Genomic DNA, 22,750 nt, shown 5'->3' with positions numbered 1-22,750 from the left:
CCTCCACTCTTAAGAGTGTGAGTCTTCGAAGCTTGCCAACTTCTGCTGGTGCCCGATGTGGTTTCTCTACCTCCAAAGCCAGTGTATCTCCCAAGACATTTTGGAGGTTCTATACAGCAACTAGCCATTGACTGACATGTAGCCACTAGAAACAAGCCCACACTTTGGAGTTAGGCAGATCTGGACTTGGATTTTGACCTTGCCACTTGCTTGTTATATGATCTTAGAACGGCCCTTGACTCCTTTGGGCCTCAGTTTCCTCTTTTGTGAAATGAAGATAATATAATTTACCTTCTAGGGTGTTATGCCTTTTAGGTTGATACATAGCAAGTAGGTCTGCTTTGCTTTTCTATGACGACACCCACTCTGAACTCTGTGTGTGTGTGTGTATGTGTGTGTGTGAATATGTGTATATACATATGAAATATATATTTATATGTACTTATGACCATATCAGTCTATTCTATTGGATTATAAGCTACTATTCTGTGGGGGTGATTATGATCTAATCATTATTTTTCTCCAAAGCACTCAGAGGGCTAAGCAAATAGTTGGGCTTTAATAAGTGTTGAATGTGTGGGGTTTGTGCTCTTAAACCTAATCCAGTCTTTTTAGTGATGGACTTGTGATTAATTAGGCTGTGTCTGTAGGCTAGGGTATACCTCTTCTGTGACCAAAACAGTTCTGTCCAAGCAAATGCCCTTGTTAGGATAATATGCCAGCATGGCTTGTGAGTCATTCATTCATTCTGCTATGGCAATTCGGTATTTTGTAGGGCTTGGTGTTTAATATGATAGTTTGGGGAGCTTTCTTTAAAAATACATAAAATTGCAGAAAGCATGTAAACACATTGGTAGGGCTCTTCCTGGGGCCTGGAGGAGGCTTGTGAAAGTGAGGGGCCCTAAAGCTTGAGCTTCTTTGGTTTAACAGTAAATCATCTCCACATTTAAAGATTTATGGAACATTCACTACAGGTAGTATTAGGAGTTATGAAGGATATGGAGGTTTCTAAAAGGGAAAAGATGGATACGAGTTTTAGTAATACAGTCATCCTAAGTGGACTCAGGACAAAACCCCTTGTATTTTTTTCATTCAAATATTTGTGGAATACCTACTATGTGCCAGGCACTATGCTAAGCCCTGGAACATAGCTGTGAAAACACTAGTCTCTGCCCCATGGAGCTCATATTCAAGTGTCACCTGCACTGTGACTTGTAGAACTACGTAGCTTGCAATGAAAAGAGCCACAGTGTTGATCTTTCACTTTGGTGCCTGGTTTCTCTTTTTAACCCCTCTGCCCTTCTCGTTTTCAGACCTGTTCTGGGAGTGAGTGCCACATGGTTAAATCGGTGCTGAGAGAACCTTAGCCATCCCAAGCATTGAGGAAAGAATCATTGTTACCAGGGGGAGTGGGTTTGCTGACCTGTAACCACTCAAACCTTTCCCTGCCCTGACTGGTATGAAATATTGATAAGGAGCCATTGTTTCTTCACCAAAGATAGGCTCTGTTTTGGGGCTGATTTCAGCTCAGCATGGTAGGGCAAACCTGAATGAGCAATTTGTTCTGACTCCAGAGCTGTAGATAGGGGTGTTTCTTTATGTCCTGGTTCTAGAGGGGCAGCCAACCCCACGGTCTCAAAGAACGGAAGAATTGGATTCTAGAGACATGAAGTGCTTGCCTGGTTGATTACCTCTAGCCACTGCTCCCCTTGGCCACAGTGGGGCAGTGACTCAGAGCTGGAACTGTGTTCCTGCCTGGTTGCCAGATTTTGTGTGGGGGGTGGAGAGGAACGAGAATGAATGAGCAGGAACAAGTGGCTGCTGGATTTGTAACACCTTGGGAGGCAGCTGCTCAAGAACCGAAATTGAGAGACAGCAGGCAGGCTGGGAGTCTCCCTCCCTGTCTGACCTGAACCTAAGATTTAATAAGGTGGTGCAGCTGGGGAAGACACTATCCGAACGTGGAGCCCAAAGGGAGGGTGAGTGTGTCCCCTGCCTTTTCCGGTAAGAACAAGAAAGCAGGTTAGTCCTGTACTGGTTTCATAGGGATTCAGTTTGCTGTGGTATATTCTGATTCATGAAAGTCAAGTAATGACTGAGAGAAAGGGAGTTTTCGATGGTTGGGAGCACCTACAGTTAAATAAAAACAACCACCATCCAATGTAATTGGGCATAAATAAGACATAAGTATCATTAACTACACCTCCCTGATGTTATTACAGAGTATTTTGTTGGCAAGTGAGGTTGGGGAGGACAACTGGTCTGCCTCTGTCTCTGTGTTTGCAGTTGTGTGTAGTGTTGTTACATTTCAGTCTGTAGCTCTGTGGATGACAGTCTGAGATGAACCGCAGCATCTTAAAATGCTACAGCTGGAGGGAACATCCTGGAAACATCTCCTGCTCCAGCCTTCTCATTTTACAGTTGGGGAAACTGACTTATTTAAGTGTACTAAATGGAAGCATAAAACTGGGTGTTCTAAGATTAAAAATGTTTCACAGGACAGGTTTGAAAACTTCTATAGAATGCGGCTTTTCTCGGGCCGCAGTTTCTGAACCTGTCGGGGATGGAAGTGTGGCTGGTGGAAGGTGCCTCTTGATCTTAAACCACTTTGCCTGCCAGGTGAGTTCTTTAAATAGAAATTTAAACAGGAGGCTGGGTGCTGTGCCTTAACTCAAAGGGAAGAAAAGAAAGCGTGTTCTTGAGCCTCTGTCCTAGAGCAGGCTGAACATGCTGGAGTCTGCAATGTGGAAAAAGGCAAAACAACTCTATTGGAGTGCAGTTTTAGAGTTAGCAGAAGATAAATATAGCAGGCACTGAAGGTTGAAGTGTCTACTGTGGGCTGGGATGTTATCAGTGTTCTTTATAACAACAATGCAGAGTCGGAATTAATCTTTTCTTTACAGATAAACTCAGAAAAGCCACTAACTCGCTCAAGGTCATGCACTACCAGTGTGTGGCAGAGCTGGGATTTGAATTCCAGTTTGTGTGGCTCTGATCTGCCTGGGCTTCCTGCAGGCCTGTGTGGCCTTTCTAGATGGAGAACCTACCTGCACCCCCCATTTTACAGATGAGGAAACTGAGGCCCAGGGAGGTTGAGTAGTTGCCTGGGCTGTAGAGCTAGCTGGTAGTGACAAAGCTGGTACTCAGCTCCTGTCACATTGCCCCTCTGCCAACTTCCTTAAAAAAGAAAATTAGGAAAGGGCTCTCTGAGTTTGATTTGCTCATTCTATCAGAATCTTGGCTTTAATGTTCTCATGGCTGCTGGGATCCTGTGAAATCAAAATTAAAACTTTCTATTCACCAAGTAGCAACCCCAAGTCATGGGGCTCCATGTGGGAACTCAGGGGCCAGACAGTCTTGCGGTGTTGGTGACTCAGTCAGAAGAGTACTTTGCAAAATGAATTGGCCATTGAGTGGATCTGCAGAACTCTGGAGAACTTAAGAGAACCTAATGAAATGTAGAGGTTTGCAAATCATGCCAGAAGACTGTTAAATCTAGAGCTTGGAAAAGACGGACTTCCCTCTTTGCAAGTTGTGAGGGCTTTAAGTTTGCTCAGTTAATTTTGTGACTCCCTCATGCCCAGCTCTGCCTGTGCCAGGCTCTGTTCCCTTTGGCACATTTGGACACTGAACACGGTTACTAACTGCCCCTCAGGTGGGGGGTCTGGAGTTGGACAGGGTTTCCATGTCGCTGCCCACATTGGTATGGAGTGTGTGCCAGATGTGGACGGTATGGGAATGGGGAAGGTCTAGAGTTGCCCTGCTCTATGCTCTCCAGGGCTGGTGGAGTCTTCAGAGCCTGTGGCCTTCTGCCTCCCCGTATCTTTGAGGGCTCTGTGATGCATGGTGCTGCTGAAATCAGAAAATGACATCGGTTCTGCACAGCCTCTCCCTGAAGGTGATGTGTCTGTGCTCAGGCTGTTTTGAAGTAAAGGGGTTCAAGTGCCTACTCCATGAATATTCTTCTTTGCTGTAGGAGATAAGTAAGGAGTAAGGAATGACTCCTCCCAACCCTTGGATCTTACTTGAAGGGAGGGGACAGGGAGGAGAACAAACACACATGAAATAAGCAGAGAGCAATACTAGCGAGGATATAATCAGTCACCAAATTGTAGGTTTCATGCCAAAACACTCTCCCAGTTCACGCAAAGGAGATACAGGTGATGTTTATATTATCCTTCTGTGTGTTTTTAATCACGCAGTAATTTCCTATCAGGTGTTTGCATTCCTTTCTTTGATTTTCTCAGTGGGGTGTATTAACCCTCCTTTACAGGGGAGTTGAGGAAGTTGTAGGGGAGGGCTAATTTCTCCAAATTATATTGTAACACAGTTCAGGAGAGCCAAGGATGAAGTGTTCTTGGCATGTTGGTGTCTCATCCTTGCACTGGCAGTAAGAATAGAAGCCAACTGCCTTCTGATGGCTGATGACCATTAGGTTCTTGTCTCTGTTACTTGAGTCCAGATTTCTGTAGGGCTAGCTAGTTCATTTAGAGGCAAAATTAGCTGGGCGTGGTGGTGCATGCCTGTAATCCCAGCTCTTTGTGAAGTGGAAGAGGGAGAATCGCCTTGAACCTGGGAGGCGGAAGTTGCAGTGAGCTGCGATTGTGCCACTGCACTCCAGCCTGGGTGAAAGAGTGAGACTCCATCTCAAATATCCGGAGGAAAGAGCATCCAGGCTGCAAGGACAGCTAGTACTAAGACTGTTAAGTAGGAAAGAGCTTGGTGTTCAAGGAACAAAAAGGCCAGTGTGGCTGGGCCAGCATGGACAAGGGGAAGAATGGTACTAGACGAAGATGGAACCAGGCAGGAGTCAAGGCATCTTAGCATTTTGTAAGCTAAGGTAAGGAGCTTATTTTTTACTCTGTGTGTAAAGTAGAGCTATCGTAGAGTTTAATGGAGGAGGGTGACATGGTCTAGCTTATATTTTAAAAGATCCAGGAGGCATCCAGTGAGGAGAATGGGTGCAACAGAGGCCAAGGTAGAAGCAGAAAGAGCCGGTAGGAGGCTGTTGCAGTATCTAGTTAAGAGATGAGTAGGGTGCTAGCTGTACAGATGGAGAGGAGTGTGGATGAATTCAACGTATATTTCGTAGATAGAGGCAATAGGACTTGGTTCTGTGTGCCTCACATATTGTACATGGAGGTTAAAGAAAGGAGTAAAGGATGATTCCAAGGTCATAGTGATGTTAATGGAAATAGGGAAGCCTGGAGGAGTATTGAGTTTGCGGGGAAGGGAGGCTCATTCTATTCTTGCCCTGTTAAAATGTAGATGCCTGTTAGTCATTGCTATAGTCAAGGTACAGTTAGGTTCAACAAACATTAATTGAGTACCTTCTGTATGCCAGACATTTGGCAAGGTTCTTTCATGTATGTTCCTTCATTTTATCATCACAACAACCTTTTGGAGGGACATTTTTATCCCCTATTTGCAAATGGAAGAATGGAGCCTCAGAGAGGTGAGGTGGCTTATCTGGTTTGAACCCAGATCTTCTGACCCTAGGGCTCTGGGCTGACTTGTTGCTTAGGGCAGATGTTGAAGGAAGCTGATTAGTGTTATGTTGATATCTTCTACTTAAAGAGAGGATTGGCTCATCAAGGCCTGATTCTGGAAGAAGGGCCTGTCACAGGAATGCCTATGTGCAGTGAGCTGTTGCAAATCTTGATATTGTCAAAATAGTGCAAGCTTGAAAGACCATTTCAGTAGATTCTCAATCCCCTTAGAAATGCCACATTAATGATGATGCTTTGCATTAAGTGAGCAATTTTGTGAAAATGTTAAGTAAAATTAGTCACAAGGAGCTTAAAAAACAATTGAGGAAACATAGAGATGCTGTTTCAAATCTTGATTGCTACCTCTTTATTGTGGGGCCCAAATTGGAGCTGAAGGTGAAGAAGAGGCAATTTCTTGTATTCTCAGAGTTTCAATTTCCAGTTTTGAGACCTAACTAGGAACATTATTAGGTTATCCAGAATCCTTGGTTTTCTCCAGACACTGGTATTTAGAACAAAGATAGTAAGTGGCTTTACAAGCCTGGGGGCAGTGCTGAATGTGGCTGCAGGCCTGCAGGGTAACGCTTTTACAGTGTTCTGGGAGCCACATTGAGGAACCAGAAGGTCCAGAGGGGCAGATACTGCTGAGCATACCAATGAGAAGATCTTTAATAGAGTCCCTCCTCAGACTTTTAGGCCAGATACTTTTCTTACATTTTAAGCTGTTTCTTCTCCTCTTTATAGCCAGATAAGAGCTAGTGCTGACGGAGCAGATTTGTCACACTCTCAGCATACCAACACCACTACTGTCAGAAAACCAGATTTATCAGGGTGCTCCGACCCCCACTGTTCTGTTAAGCATCACTCACATAATGCCAGAACTTCTTGCCATGCCAAAAAAAATTGCTGTGCCAAGTAATTGGAACCTTTATGTTTAACCAACAGGAGTCACTGCTCATATTACAATCAAAATACATACGAATAGAAAATTAATATGGAAAAATGCTGCAAGAAACCATAGGATGCATTTACATTTTGACTAGCCTTGTCTGTCATTGTAGGTTGACTGTCTTACATTGAACTTAAATCAGTCTCCAGTTCTCTATGGTCCTCACTTTATTCTCTTATCAAGTCTTTTGTATTTGCTGTCAGACTTCTTTAGGGCTTAACCCAAGTACTTCCTGGCCCAGGGCTTGTGAAGACATGCTTATTTATGTGGATGGTTACCCACAGCCTGCTTTCACGGGAATCATCCTTCCCTGCCATCTTCTGTCCATGTTCCCTGGTCCTTTCCTAAGTGAGACTGGCTGCCATTCAACTTCAAGGGGCTGCTTCTGGGAGGAAGAGCGGGATTTGAAAATGGAGGCTAGCTTGTGTTTACCTCATTTGCCAAATTACTTTCTCAGTAGCCTGAAGAGAAACAGAAGCCCTTGTGTGGAACAGAGAGAGTTTTTGTTCTCCCCTGAAACCAGCCACTTGGCTCTCAGCCGGGCCATCTCTATACTACCATAGAGCAAGGTAGCAATTCAGGTCTAAGAACAGGTATTTCAGGGGATGTGTCTGTGCCTGCTAAATACTTCTTGAGACACAGTGATAGGACATGAGACTCTTCATGGGTGTTAGAATCAGGAAATGGAGCTGACTGAGGGCTTTTGTGGCGGGGGAGCCAGGGACAGCGAGTAAAGCCAGAGGACTTTGCAATCTCCAAATGGGTTTGGGGAGCCAGCGTTTAATAGGCAGCCTTTGTTTGGCAAGGATGAGCCTGGAGTAGTGGAAAGAGATCAAAAGGGTGGTGGTGTGCGGGGAACACAGGAGCTGACTGAGGTTATAGGTAAATCACCGTTCTTTAGGGACCTTACTTTCTTCATTTGGAGCCTGGTGTGGTGATACCTAACCTGCCCTTTTAGGTATTTGTGAATATTGAATGGAATCGCCCAGGGACCTCACTGGCATCCCTTTGCTCAGAGTGCTGAACCAGAAGCTCTGCCATTAGCAAGCTGAATGTGTTTGATCAAAAATGATGAAATTTAGGCCGAGCACGGTGGCTCACACCTGTAATCTTAGCACTTTGGGGGCCCAAGGGGGTAGATTGCTTGAGCTCAGGAGATGGAGACCAGTCTGGGCAACATGGTGAAACCCCATCTCTACTAAAAAAAAAATTAGCCGGGCATGGTGGTGTGCACCTGTAAGTCCCAGCTAGTTGGAGGACTGAGGCAGGAATGTTGCTTGAACCCAGGAGGTCGAAGCTACTGTGAGCTGAGATCGTTCCACTGCACTCCAGCCTGGGTGACAAAGTGAGACCTTGTCTCAAACAAAAGAAAAAAAAAGGAAAGAAATTTTTAAGACTTCAGTATTCAGAAGCCATTACTCTGGTTCATCTCTTTTCTCAATGTATGAGTCTTTTTGAAAAAAAAAAAAAATTTAGTATTCTAGTAACATCCCATAACCTGGAACCTCAGTTTCCTTATGTTTAACATGGGGATAAAAATATCTGCCCTGCTTACATCATTGGGTAGTTTGGAGGGGCAAATAAGATGATGAATGTAAGCATAGTTAAAGCTGCTTAGTTAAAGCTCCTTGTAAATTGCAGTAGTTGGTGGTGGTGATGATGCTGTGACTGACAACTCTTTTGGCAAAGAAGGCAGCATCCATATTAGGGAAAAAAGTTTGAAGAACTGTCTCTAGGTCTGATCAAATGACAGCTATTTTGTGTTGGCTTTTTAAAAATTACCTTTCTTCTAATGTTAGAATGTAAAATTCATCTTAGTGCCTAAACTCTGCAGCTCAAGATTCATTTACTTAGAACCCTGGGTTTATTTAAGCTGGTACAGGTTGGGACGGGGAGCCCAGGAGTTGCTATTAAGATTGTGCAGTGTATATGAAGTGGTGGTCACTGGCTGCTGGATCTGCCCCAGGCACATAGAAGATTTGCTCTTTAACCTCATCTGCCAGAGATCCATCAGCTGATCTTATGGTAGAACTGAAGGCTGTTTGGGGACTACTGAGTGCCACACAAGTGCTGTCACTCAGAACTTTGGCCCTGGACAAAAGAGGAAAGGGGGAGATAAAGAATGAGAGGGAGTGGCAGCTGGGCTGTGCTTCTGATGCCTTGTGTCTTTAGGGCTTTCTCATCATGGCCAGGAAGCTGCCCCAATTCAGACTCCTAAGAGAAAGGGAAAGCAGGTTATCATACAGAGAACATATAATTTAGAAATAGAAGACCTGGAGTCATGTTCCAGTCTTATCACTTTTTTGTTTGTTTGTTTTTGGGACAGAGCCTCACTCTGTCACCTAGGTTGGAGTGCAGTGGTGCAATCATGGCTCACTGCAGCCTTGACTCCTGGGCTCGGGTGATCCTCCCAACTCAGCCTCCCAAGTAGCTGGGACTACAGGTGCGTGACAGCATGCCTGGCTAATTTTTGTATTTTTTGTAGAGACAAAGTTTCACCATGTTGCCCAGGTTGAACTCAAACTCCTGGGCTTAAGTGATTCACCCGCCCCAGCCTCAGGAAGTGCTAGGATTACAGGTGTGAGCCACTGCACCTGTGCCATGTCCCAGTCTTATAATTTATCAACAAAGTTATCTTGTACAAGGCACTCCCCCCATTCACCTCTCTGAGCTATTCACCTCTCTAAAACTGCAAAGCATTTATAGAGATAATCACAGATAGTGGTGTTAATGCTTTATGGTTATTTCCGTTATGAGCAGGGCTTTTTTCCCTCCAGGTGGAAATGAGGCAGGTTTAGATTTAAAGTTTGCATTTTCAGATTCTCTGGCAAGTGGAGATAAGTCTCTAGAAAAAGCTGGGCCAGGAGTGGTGGGTCATGCCTGTAATCCCAGCACTTTGGGAGGCTGAGGTGGGCGGATCACCTGAGGTCAGGAGTTTAAGACCAGCCTGGCCAACATGGTGAAACCCTGCCTCTACTAAAAATACAAAAGTTAGTCAAATGTGGTGGCAGGTGCCTATAATCCCAGCTACTTGGGAGGCTAAGGCAGGAGAATCACTTGAACCCTGGAGGCAGAGGTTGCAGTGAGCCGAGATCACGCCATTGCACTCCAGCCTGGGCGACAGAGCGACACTCCATCTCAAAAGAAAAAAGGAAAAGCTGGGTGTAAATAAAGCCTAACCCTTGAACGTGGTGCAAGGATTTTTAAAACATGTGTTAAGAATGCCTGCTTCTGCTTCTTGTCCTTATCTTAGATGCTCAGACTTAACTCTGCTTTTTTGGGAAGACTAGTCTGCTGTCTGCCAAATGAGGTCATAGAATTCCACGGGCTTGCCTGGGACCAGGAGCAGGGAATTCAGAGGCTGGCTATGGTTGGGAAGGGTGACAGTATGGTGAGGTGGTACACAGTTGCAGGACTAAGGAACAGCCTGGCCTCATGGCTGGCTTCACATTTGGCTTGTTAGGGTTCAGGCTGCTCTAACCTTCAGTGCCCAGTTTACCCCAGACACCTGGACATCAGAGGTTCTGACCAGGCATTAGGGCAGAGTAAAAAAAGACTTTGTAGGCCTAGAGAGTTTTTCTTTTATAACCTTTGTGCTATGCTGATTTAGACATAGTAATCTCTAGGGAGGCTTAGTCTCAATTTGGAGATGGGGCTAATATTTTAACAATACCAACTGAGATGATCTATTGATTATGAAAGCATTTTAACTCTCTGTACTAGGAACCTTAAAAAATGACCATGCTCTTTGATTCAGTAATTTTACCTTTGAGACTTTAACCCAAGGAAAAATTTGAATTGGAAAATTCAAATTACATTGAAAGAGATATAGATTATAATAGTGGGGGGGAGGCACCTAAAATATCTAGCATTAGAAGAGTATAAATCTTTCTAGAATGTAAATACCATGGGATAAGGACTTTTTGTTCACCTTTTATCCCCAGTACCTAAAGGAGTGCCTAGCACATGGGTGCCCAGTAGACAACTTTCTGAGTGGTTGTATGAAAAAAAAAAATTACATTTGGCCAGGCATAATCCTAACGCTTTGGGAGGTAAGCCTGGTGGATCACTTGAGCCTAGGGTTGAGACCAGCCTATGCAACATAGTGAGATCTCATCTCTACAAAAAAACCCAAAACTTAGCTGGGCATGGTGGCATGTACCTGTAGTCCCAGCCACTCCGGAGGCTGAGGTGGGAGGATCACTTGAGCCCAGGAGTTTGAGCCTGCAGCAAGCCATGATCACCCCACTGCATTCCCACCTGGGCAACAGAGCGGGACCCGGTCAAAAAAATTTTTGTTTACATTCATATGATAAGACTATTATTCAGCTATTTCAAATAAAGAAGTCTTAATAATATAGGACTTTTTCTATGTTAATAGGATGTGAAAAAGCAGGACAGATTTTTATATACACTAAAATCACTCTCAATAGCCTAAAGTGATTCTTTTTAAGTAGAAGAAAATTTAAAACTTGGAAGGGGAACATACCCGGGTATATCTCCACATAGAGAGGTCATGGGTGACTTTTTACTTTCTACATTTTAAAAATTGTCTACAGGTGGGGCACGGTGGCTCACCTGTAATCCCAGCACTTTGGGAGGCTGAGGTGGGTGGGTCACTTGAGGTCAGAGATTTGAGACCAGCCTGGCCAACATGGGGAAAGCCCATCTCTACTAAAAATACAAAAATAAGCCGGGCGTGGTAGTGCACAACTGTAATTCCAGCTACTTGGGAGGCTGAAGCAGGAGAATCACTTGAACCCAGGAGGCGGAAGTTGCTGTGAGCCGAGATTGCACCACCGCTCTCCAGCCTGGGTAACAGAGACTGTCTTAAAAAAAAAAAAAAAAAAAAGTCTACATTTACTATGATTTTGAAAGAAATTTAAATAAATCATATTTTGTTTTTAAAAGAGGAGGGTTAGTTTAGTTTATTTGTGGAGCAAACCAACAGTCTCTAGAGCCAGCTCCTCCTCCCTTTCAAAGAACCAAGCAGCCTTTGTTGATGCACAAAACACCTACACACTTTGTGTCTGTCAGCTTGGTGTGGAAGCTGATCCTTCCTAACTTCAAAAGGGTGATAGAAACTCCACCGTGCTGAAATTGTGCAGGTCGTGTTGCAGAGACATGCCCATACATTTATATCCCATCACTGAAGTGAAGACATTTTGTAGTAGGGAGAAGAATTTTCAGAAGATAGATTTTTGTGGGTGGGTGGTTAATTCTTAGAATTCTTTTGCTAGATTCATGGATTTGGAAGCTGTCTTAAGTGTCATCTGCTTTCCTTCATTCTTGTTTTAGCTCGTACTGTCTTAAAGTGTTACTTTTTGTTCATCGTCTCAGTTTGCTGGAGTAAGTACTTCATGGAATGTCTCTCCAAGATGCAGTATTCTCTTGGAGCCAAGACTTCCTTAGAAGTCTCCCTGTCTCGTAGGTGGGCTCTGGCACCTGAGCTGGAAATTCTTGGGCTTTTCTTAGTGTGGCGGGGTTCTGACAGACTAAGTGTGTCTCAGAGGAAAGGCCCACATTTCTCCCCCTGTGAAATCTTTGATGACCAGGGTCACCAGACATTGCTGACTGACCTGTCGTGTCTGTACTCCTTCCATTCACACGAATTCTCATCCATCTTCTCTCTTTCTCTTTAGCCATAACCAGCAGACCACAGCATTCAGGCATCCTGTGACGGGACAGTTTTCTCCAGAAAATAGTGAATTCATTCTTCAAGAAGAGTAAGTCTTTTTATGTATTCTCCTTATCTGGGCAGAGTATGGGAGACTAAAGGCATTTGCTGAAAACAAAACTTACTGGACTGTTTTCTCTGAGACAGAGGGGCTTGGGGTGAGTGGGTTGGTTGATTCAAACAGGAATATGAGAAGAATTTTATTTTTCAACCTTCAGACTTCTTTCAGTGGCAAGATATGGAAGAGGAGAGTTGATACAGGGATGTGCTATGATGGGTATTGTCAGAGCCTCTTTAAAGTTCCCTTTCCCCTGAATGAACCCTTTCTCCTGCTATATCTTCTGGCACATTAGCCCTGTTTGAAGAGGACCCACTCATCTGGGTGAAAATATAGCTGGCACACACCTGTATTACCAGATACTTGGGAGGCTGAGGTGGGAGGATGGATTTGAGCCCAGGAGTTCAAGGCTAACAAGACCCCATATCTTTTTTTTTTTTTTTTTTTTGAGGCAGGGTCTTTTTGTCACCCAGGCTTTGTCACCCAGGCTGGAGTGCAGTGGCACAATCTTGGCTCACTGCAGCCTTGGCCTCCCTGGGCTCAAGCAGTCCTCCTGTCTCAGCCGCCCAAGTCGCTGGAACTACAGGCATGCACCACCACACCCAGCATATTTTTGTATTTTTTGTAGAGATAGGGTTTCGCCATGTTGCCCAAGCTGGTCTCAAACTCCTGAGCTGAAGCAATCCTCCTGCCTCAGCCTCCCAAAGTGCTGGGATTACAGGCATGAGCCACCACATCCTGCCCTAGACCCCATCTCTTAAAAAATGTGTGTGTGTAGTGTGTGTGTGGGGGTGGGGGTAGGGGGTGTACCCTCAGACTGAGCTGAATCAGCCTCCCAGGGAAGCCTCAAATAGGAGTCCAAAGAGAGGAGAGCTGGTAATCCCCATCGTCCCTGGACATTCTGAGTTCTTTCTGTTCTCTTTTCCTAACATGGGAACTTTCCTGCTCCTCAGCTCAGTTTCAGCAGGGCTCTCAGGTGCTCAGGTGGGCTCTACCACCCAGGGCTTGTCTACATAAAAATACATGTACAGCCCAAGCAGGATGTGTTTTCCCAAAAAAGGAAGGTAAGAAATGTGCACAGGTGGCTCTGTCCCCTTCCATTCATCTGAGACAGTTCTATTTGAAGAAAATATTTGTGTTTTGGAAAGTAACAAATAGATGTTAGCTTTAAAGGTTTTTTTCTTCTTCAAATCATTTTTCCTCTGTTTAGTTACATAGACCAAATATGATCTTAAAATAAACTCTCAGTATTTATATTTTTACAGCATTTCCCTCCCTTAGTATCTACACCTTTAAACTTTTTATTATGGAAAAAAATTAAAATATACAAAAAGAGATACGGTAATAAATTCAATATACTCATTGCCCATCTTCAACAATTTCCAAAACATGGCTAATTTTATTTTATCTATCCCTTCACCTTCATCCCCTAGATTATTTTGAAGCAAATTCCACACATACCATTTCATCTTTATAGTATTTTCAGCTTAGAATCATTATCCCACAGTACGTTTAAAGCTAGAAAGCTATAATTATGGGGAAACTGACATCCTTGCACATATGCTCTGTGCCGGAGGCATTACATGCATATCTCATTTAATAGGATCATCCTGAGAGATAGACCATCACCATTTTAGAGATGAAGAACCTGAGACCCAAAGAAGTGCCCAGAGACACACAGCTTAGGAGAGCCAAGATGCCGTCCCAGGTTAGCCAGGCTTCAAGGCCTGTGCTGCCTTTGCGTGGTGTTCCCTTCATCAAGTCCAACTCCTGTCACAGTCAGAGGCCACTTCCTAAGTTATTTTGATACTGGTGGTCCATGGGAGATGACAGTCAGGGGCTGGGGTTGGGAATCTGACTTTGGAAGCATTAATACTAGTAAAGAGAGTGAGTGGAAGGTAAAGATTGTCTTGTCTCCTAGATTGATAAAGAACTGCTGTGTAAAAAGAGCCAGGATATGTGGATTCCCCAAATTCCGCTCAGAATGAATTTGTTTATAGAATCCTGAAGGTCAGAAGCTCTTGGGAGGTTATTGAGTTCAGTCCTCAGGCATCCCGGAGACACAGGTGCCTGTTGTTATTAAGTCTGGATGGAGAGTCCGTCAGAACCTTTAGCTTGGGAAGTTACCAACTTCCATAAGAGCTGCAGGAAAATGCAGACCTACCATTACAAAACACTTGTCACACACAATTCCTTTTGCTCTCATTCTTAACAGAAGACTTTGTCTACTGACCACTTCTCTTCAGAAGGTAGCCTCTTTCCTACTACCGAAACATCCCTGTAGTTAATTTCAATTCCATCCAGCTTCCAAGGAGAAGATGCACCTCCTTTTTAAGGCTTACTTTTTTCCTCTAGATCCCATCTCCTGGATGTCATGGAGGTACCTGCTTGTCTCAGGTGGTGTGTGGCACTGATTGGCCAGACATTCCTTGCAACAGGCAGAATATGCTATAGGCATTGAGAAGAAGGGAGGATTCCTGCACTTATACATTAAATACCTAGTGAGTACTTACATTGTGTCTGGGGCTGTGCTGGACTCTACAGGTACAGCAGCAAGCAACACAGATGTGGTCCTGGTGGTGAGGAGCTTACAGTTGAGTAGGGAATTTGCCTGCTCTTATTGGTGTGAACAGATACATCTCCCCACTGTTGGCAGGTAGGACTCACCTGAGATGCTTGGAATAATGTGTGCATGCCCCTCAAAGGATAGTTTCTCATTTTACAGATTAGAGGCATGGAGAAGAGAAATAATGTGAAAGCTATAATCTGATGGTTCCAGGGGACATGAGTTCTGAGTGTTCTAATTCCTGCGTCAGTCGTATAGAATCAGTCAGGATAGGCTAGGGTCTGCTCTGGTAATAAGAGATCACAAATGTGATAAATGTTCATGACAGAGGAAACATAGGGTTCAATGGGAATTGATAAAGGGGACTCTAACCTGGCTTAGGGACCACAGAAGGCCTCCTCATCTGGGAAGGGATGTGGTTTAAACTGATATCTGTCTAGTCAAGGTGAACAACCTGGGCAAAGACTTAGAGGGGAAGGAGGGTAGAGCATGGGGGATCTACACCAGTTGAGTTTAAGTGAAAAATGAGGAGCACTGGGTGGATTCTGGAGGTACTTGGGAAGTAAAATGAACAGAATTTGGTGATTGATTGACTATGATAGGGATGAAAGAGGGGAAAGACTTTCTTGAAGCCTCTGGCCTTAAACTGGAGGAAGAGGGAAGATTTAGATAAGGGAAGATAAGTGTGTACACGTGCATGTGTGTAGGTGTCATTCACAGCTGAGGAGAGTGTGTCCAGCCTTGGTGGGGTCAAAGTGAAAGAAGGCTGACTTGCAGTGGAGGTTTGTGAAGGGGAGTGTGCAGATACGGTTGAAGAGGGGGGCTGCAACCAATTACCTAAATTGCTTCCTCCTAAATGAAATACACTTAGATTTACCTCCTGGGGAAGCTCTGGAGGGTGAGTGAGGCATGATGTCTCCTCACAGAAACAGTTTTTATAAATTATGCAAATGAATGAGATTCTTGTTTTGTTCCCTTAGAGGAGCTTAATTTTGTTATGTAGTGTGTTATGTCTCAGACTAATGTCTTGGGTGGAAAAAGGAAAACTGGCTCCTTTCTTTTTCTTCTCCAAAGAGAATCCACTGAGGCCAAGCACTGGAGAGTTGTAACCACATTGACTCCTCTTGCCAGAGCCTCCACTCCCCAGTTTCTTGTAGGTAATTCTTCTGGAGCAGCGGTTCTCAAAGTGTGATCTCTGAATCAGCATCACCTGAGAAGGTGTTAGAACTGTAAATTCTTGGCCCCACCCCAGGCCTACTGAATCAGAGACTCTAGAGGTAGGCCCCAGCAATCTGTGTTTTCACAAGCCTTCCAGTTGATTCTGATGCAGGTAAGAGTTTAAGAACTACTGATTTAGGCAACTTGCTCTTTTCATCCCTTCTAAATTACTCCCTAGTTCTCTTCACCCCCAGGTGTCTTCCCACTTCACCCCCCACCCCCAAGTGTCCATCCATTCTCTGGGCTGCAGTGACAATCTTAGGTAGATTTTAGTCACATAATCTTGAGTTTCTTCTTCTATGGGAATAAAAGAAAAGAAAAAATTTAAACCCATCCCATGGTGACTTCTCCTAGGGCATTATTGGTGTGAACAGATAGATCTCCCCACTGTTGGCAGGTAGGACTTGCCTGAGCTGCTTGGAATAACCCATCCATGCCCCTCCAAACGATGGTTTCTCATTTTACAGGTCAGAGGCATAAACGAAAGAAATAATGTGAAAGCTGTGATCTAATGGGGCCAGAGGACATGAGCTCTGAGTGTTCTTGTTCCTGTATCAGTCATATAGATTCAGGCTAGATAGGCTAGTGTCTGCTGTAGTAACAACAAACAAAATCTTCATGATTTAAAACAGCAAAGGCGAATTTCTCATGTTTGCTTCATGTCCATCATAGGTCACCTGATGGACTCTGCTCTGCCCTCTTTTTTGTTTTTTGAGACAGAGTTTCATTCTTGTTGCCCAGGCTAGAGTGCAATGGTGCACTCTCAGCTCACTGCAACCTCCGCCTCCCGGGTTCAAGCGATTCTTCTGCCTCAGTCTCCCGAGTAGCTGGGATTACAGGTGCCCGCCACCACACCCAGCTAATTTTTGTATTTTTAGTAGAGACGGGGTTTCACCATGTTGGCCAGGCTGGTTTTGAACTCCTGACCTCAGGTGATCTGCCCGCCTTGGCCTCCCAAAGTGCTGGGATTACAGGCATGAGCTACTGTGCCCAGCCTGCTCTGCCCTCTTTACTGAGGGTGGCTTCATTTCTGTAAGGGAACTTGTAAATTGGGCACTGGCTCTTTCACTTACATTTCTTCAGCTAAAGTAAGTTACGGGACCACTTCAAACTTCAAGGGGAGAAGAGAAGCACATATTTATTATGTTCCTGAGAAGAGAATCAGAAGTATTTTTTGGGCTGGGTGCAGTGGCTCACACCTGTAATCCCAGCACTTTGGGAGGCCAAGGCGGGTGGGTCAGGAGATCGAGACCACCCTGCCTAACACAATGAAACCCCATCTCTACTAAAAATACAAAAAATTAACCTGGTGTGGTGGCGCACACCTGTAATCCCAGCTACTCGGGAGGCTGAGGCAGGAGAATCACTTGAGCCCGGGAGGCAGAGGTTGCAGTGAGCTGAAATCATGTGACTGCACTCCAGCCTGGGCGACAGAGTGAGACTCCATCTCAATAAATAAATAAATAAATGAAGTATTTGTTGGACAGCACTAATCGTTACCCTTAATAAACCACAGTCCAGATTTATCAAGGGAAGTGGGACCTTTTGAGTCTCACTAAGAAGCTGCTTTTGCTGTATGACTAGAGTGCTCATTTCTTTTCTTTTTTTTGAGATGGTGTCTCCCTGTGTTGCCCAGGCTGGAGTGCAGTGGTGTGATCTTGGGTCATTGCAACCTCTACCTCCTGGGTTCAAGTGATTCTCCTGCCTCAGCCCACCATCACACCCAGCTAATTTTTGTATTTTTAGTAGAGATGGGGTTTCACTGTGTTGCCCAGGCTGGTCTTGAACTTCTAGCCTCAAGCAGTCCATCTGCCTCAGCCTCCCAAAGCGCTGGGATTATAGGCATGAGCCACCCGCCTGGCCTAGAGTGCTAATTTTCTCATTTGACCTTTTCTGTTATGCTACCCAGTTTTTTGTTACACCCCCTGAGGGGACTAGGCATCAGTCAATGGGTTCTGTAGCCTTGTTCCCCCAGGGGACACTTCCCAAGCCAGTAGGTTTGTGAAAATGCCTCATGGGAGAGCTAATACAAGCTCAGGCTGTATTAATAAAAGTACAATGCATAGAGAAAGGGGGAGAATAGTTCTGTTACATCGTGGTTTTTGTGAAACACTTCATTCATTCATTCAATACAAATTGATGGAGTACAAAGGGCATGCCAAGCTCCAAACACCATGTTCTAGATACTAAATTTTAAGAGAGGTGTTGAGCAATTGATATTCCCCTGAGGAGGGGGACCATTATGGTGAGGGTTCTAGAAGCCCTATCCTGTGACCTATTGTGATTAATCTGCAGGAGAGAAGATGGAGGATGTGGTAAAAGTCTTCAAGAAGGGCTAGCAAGTGGAAGTGGGGTACATTTATCATGTGGTGGGCAAAGGCAGGTGTCAGATTAATGGGTGAAAGCTATAGGCATACAAATTTCAACCCAGTCCATAATTTTCTAAGAAAGACACTGTATTAGTCTGTTCTCATGTTGCTAATAAAGACATACCTGAGACTGGGTAATTTATAAAGGAAAGAGGTTTAATTAACACAGTTCCACATGGCTGGGGAGGTCCCACAATCATGGCGGAAGGCAAATAAGGAGCAAAGTCACATCTTACATGGCTGCAGGCAAGAGAGTGTGTGCAGGGGAACTCCCCTTTATAAAGCCATCAGATCTTGTGAGACTTACTCACTATCACAAGAACAGCATGGGAAAAACCCATTGCCATGATTCAATTACCTTCCACTGGGTCCCTCCCATGACATGTGGGAGTTATGGCAGCTACAAATTCAAGATGAAATTTGGGTGGGAACACAGCCAAACTGTATCAGACAGTTTATAGCATCCCTTGTTTCAAGATCTAGAATTTCCTCTTTAACATTAAATGAAGTATTTTACCTCCTAGAATAAGAGTTGGGAGCTTTTAAAATAAATAATATTAATAGTATTGCTAGTATTATTATTATTTTTATAGCTAACACTTAGCACCCTTACTATTAGCAGGTACTTTTCTAAGTGCTTTACATATATTTAATTTTCACAGCAATCCTGTGAGGAAGATACCATTATTATCATGAATACTAAGGCACAGAGAGGTTAAGAGTCTTGCCAAAGGTCACACAGAGAGTAAGTGGTGGAGTCAGGATTTGAATCCAGATAGTCTGGTCCTAGATGCCATGCTTCTAAACACTATGCTATACTGCTTCTCATTTCAGAGGTCTTCTGGGGACAATCTTCTTCCTTGTCCATACTCAGTGCGCTGAGTGAGTAGGCTACTGCTGCAGAGAGATTGTAATTGTATTTGTAGCAATGAAATTTCATCTGTAATAACTTTGCACTTGTTTGAAAGATGCCAAGCCTCCTCAGTAGTCTTTTCTCCAGAAAATGTTCTCAAACCTTTTATCTTGGGGCCTAATTTCCAGTTATTGGATCATTTTGCTCCCTTCTAAGCCTCTTTCCTGATTCTCAGTGACTTTCTTGAATTGTGAGCTTGAAGCCAGACCCTTTCTGGCTAAAAGAGCCACATGCAGGGCCCCTCCTAAAGGGGTAGTCCTTGACACAGAACTTCCAGGACTGTGGTTTTGATGTTTGGTGCCCGTGTACAGGAGTGTTTTCTCCTCAGTGCTGGGCTGCCCAGGGAGCCACTGACGAATGCCTCTGCAGCTCTCGGGGAAGAGGAGAGAAGCGTTCCCGAGCAGTGACGCTAGCATTTGACTGACAGCAGGCTGTGTACACCGATCCCCAGGCTCTGCCAAGCATTTGATGTTGAGGTGGGGCCTAAGGTTGAGAGAAGACAGTATGCGCTTAGGAAGTTCAGGGGCCCGCTTGTGTGCTGAGACGCCAGCTGCAAGGCATGCAAGATCACTTTGGAGGCTCCAAACCTGGAGGGTGCCCTTGCTTGACCTGCCTTTCCCAGCATCCCAGTGAGTTTAGCTTGTTGTTTCCATTGGGGTCTGAGCAGCCTTCAGTTTTCTCATTGGATTATTTGGAAAAGAAACACAAGTTGGAATTTCCTGGAATGTTGTGAGCGGTGTTTGGAGGATAGCACTTAAAGAAGATACTGTCTTTCCAAAGGTAAGAATTATCTTCCAGATCTTTGACCTCTTTGCTAAAGGCGGTTCATTTTGCAGGTTGCAGGGTGAGACTCATCTATGGCATGTGCTGATTATGGGTTCGGGGGCGGGGTATCACTTGCTGCTAGGAGATGGCTGTCTCCTATTCCTTCTGCAGCTACAAGTTGGTAAAGCTGGCGTGAGATTTAGAGCACTGGAGAGGGGAGTTGCTCCTAAACTCCCACAGGAGTCTGTCCTGTTGCTCATCTGCTGAGCCCTGGGCTGTGAGGCTGATGCTTTGCTGTCTGCAGCTGACATAGCCAGCACCTTGTCTCTAGATGCTGGCAGTCTTGGGCTAGCTTTGCCTGTTGTATTTGGTTGCCATGGTAGCAGAAAAATGAGGAAAAATGGAAACACCTGGCAAGCAGATGCAGAAACTTGACTGTTCAGTTTTCTTCCCTGGACTAGGAGACAGTGTCTATGATAGTCGCACGTAGGGGAAGAGATGGTGATGGGGTCTTTAGTTCATTCAAACACCTGGGTGTTGGCTGGGCCTTTGGTATTGCTGTTTTGAAGGGCATCAGCACTGGGGATGCAGTCATTGCCACACAGCAACCATGTCTTTGGCTCTGTCTTTGGCTCTGTCTGTGCTGGGCAAAAATGCTGCAGTGGTGGCTTTGCTGTGTGAGGAAGGGAAGCTGCTTCCTGTAAGTAGTAATTTTGTTTCTTCCTGTGACTTCCCTTCTTGTCCTCTTCTTTTACCTCCTGCTAGTCTTGGATGTGCTCAGATCTCCAGTAAAAAATATCATTATGTAATGAGAGAAGTAGCTGCTTGTTAAGCTAGGAGGAGCAGATAGGCTAGAAGAGGGCTCACCAAAGGCACTGGTTAGAAGAGACTGGTCCAGGGTCATACAACAGAAAAGGACTTGTGCCAGGTTCGGGGCAATACTCCGATTTGGGGAACAGGCATGGGGAGGTGGGGATGGCGGCACACAGTGCTTATGGGTTATTTTCATGCCAAGTGAGAGGCTGCTGTTTGGGCTGGTTTCTAGCTCCTGGGGTAGAGTGGGGTGAGGAACTGCAGCCTGTGTTCAAGAAAGGACTTGAGGGGGAAGGAGAAGGAACACAATAAGCCATAGTTGAGTAGTGAGACCACAGTTGCTGAATGAAAACCCGTGTCAGACAGCCTCCCCCAGGCTGTTGGGAGTTTACAGTGAGCGTTGGCGGTCTGTCTGTGTGTGTCTCTTTCTCTGAGAAGAGGGGGTGTGGAGGGAGGTGTCTGCCTGTTTGGGATAAGAGCTTTCTTTTGTTTCCTAGTTTTCATTGTGCATTGCTTTCCCCAAACCCTTAGCTGATGGGTGTAAGCTACTAAAAAAAAGGTGCTGGTGTTTGTGAATGTGTCCTCTTCTCATTTACTTTTCCTCTATACCAGTAGTTTTAGCCGAGCTCTCTGTGTGTAGATTCCTTGAGGACAGAGCATGACTTTGGGGGCCAGCTTTCCCAGGAATTAATGGGATAAAGGTGTCATTTAATAAGGTGTTCTCAGTAAAAGATTTGTGTTTCCTTATAGCTTTCTAACCTCCCATCATAGTGTTGATGACTTATTTATTTAATGAATGAGAGCAAGCCTTGCTCTGTGCCAAGGCTGGAGTGAAGTGACGTGATCTCGGCTCACTACAGCCTCTGCCTCCCAGGTTCAAGCAGTTCTTGTGCCTCAGCCTCCCTAGTAGGTGGGACTACAGGCGTGCACCACCACTCTCGGCTAATTTTTGTATTTTTCATAGAGACGGGGTCTCATTATGTTGCCCAGGTCTTGAGCTCCTTAGCTCAAGCGATCCGCTTGCCTTGGCCTGAGATTACTGGTGTAAGCCACTGCGCCTAGCTGATTTTTTTTTTTTTTTTAATTTTAATAGAGACAGAGTCTCAAGACCAGACTGGTCTTGAACTCCTGGCCTCAGATGATCCTCCTGCCTCAGCCTCCCAAAGTGCTAGGTTTATAGTTATGGAGCCTCTGTTCCTAGCCCTTGATGATTCTTGACATTACTGTTCTCCTGGGGAAAGAATGGGAACTCAGTCCTCCAGACACAGAATTACTGTGCTTTAAACAATTTATTTTTATAAGATGCTATTGGGATGTTTGTAGGAGATGACTGTTGTTTAGAAGTTAATTGTTTGGCACCTTGAGCTTTCTGGAGACATATGCCTTGGAAATAAAGTGTAGCTGGGATTTAAATTCTGGGGTCTTCACTGGTAACAGTTCCAAATAATGCTTTGTATGTCATGGGTGCTTTATGGTTTTCAGTGTCATTTCAATCCACACAACTGCTTTGTGAGATGAGAGGTGGTTTCCACTTAATTTGCAAAACTGGACACCAAGGTCCAGAGAACTGATGTGACTTGTGGAGGAGTCAGTAAGCTGCAGGACTTGGCTGAGATCCAGTTATTCTGGGCTCTTGCTCTTTCCACCACCACAAGATTTCCTTGACCTGGGGGTTGGTCTTAGGGCTGAAAAGAGCAAAAGCCTGCTTCTCTCAGACCTTGGGACCTGCCATAGGGTCTTTCTGTGGCAAAGCCCAGGTTTTGGAGTCCAATTTCTATCTCGAATAAGTTATTTGTCTCTGTGAGCCTTAGTTTCCTCCTCTATAAATAGAGATACCAAAACTGACTTGGCAGGGTTAAGTGAGATAATGCAGGCCAAGTGCCTGGCATGCATGCAGTAGGTGCTCAACAAGTACAGCCTAATCCCTCTGCTT

General features: G+C 44.8%; 1 protein-coding gene across 36 annotated transcripts in view, besides 1 other annotated feature; it reads left to right on the top strand.

Annotated features, from left to right (window-relative positions):
* The window catches only part of PLEKHA7 (pleckstrin homology domain containing A7), a 237,118-nt gene that overhangs the window by 131,152 nt on the left and 83,216 nt on the right, over window positions 1-22,750 (top strand). For 32 of the 36 annotated variants that reach the window (XR_007062454.1, XM_047426441.1, NM_001329630.2 and 29 more), the window contains one exon: window positions 12,081-12,164. Coding sequence is in view for 31 of the 36 variants with exons in the window: in XM_047426441.1 (XP_047282397.1) it covers window positions 12,081-12,164 (84 nt within the window). In the remaining 5 variants the exon portion in view is untranslated. Of the gene's footprint in view, window positions 1-409; window positions 2,005-4,609; window positions 4,841-12,080; window positions 12,165-18,705; window positions 20,020-22,750 lie in introns of those variants that run through there. The other 4 variants (XM_024448367.2, XM_024448366.2, XM_024448362.2 and 1 more) reach the window with 4 other exon arrangements.
* Window positions 18,476-18,615: an enhancer, noted in NCBI's record as "active region_4481". NCBI's record gives its function as "activates an Ori minimal core promoter by ATAC-STARR-seq in GM12878 lymphoblastoid cells {active_cell/tissue: GM12878}" and the evidence as "EXISTENCE:reporter gene assay evidence [ECO:0000049][PMID:35858748]".

Source organism: Homo sapiens, chromosome 11, assembly GCF_000001405.40.
Source record: "Homo sapiens chromosome 11, GRCh38.p14 Primary Assembly".
Classification (NCBI taxonomy): Eukaryota; Metazoa; Chordata; class Mammalia; order Primates; family Hominidae; genus Homo; species Homo sapiens.
This window is presented reverse-complemented; position numbering and strand designations above follow the sequence as displayed.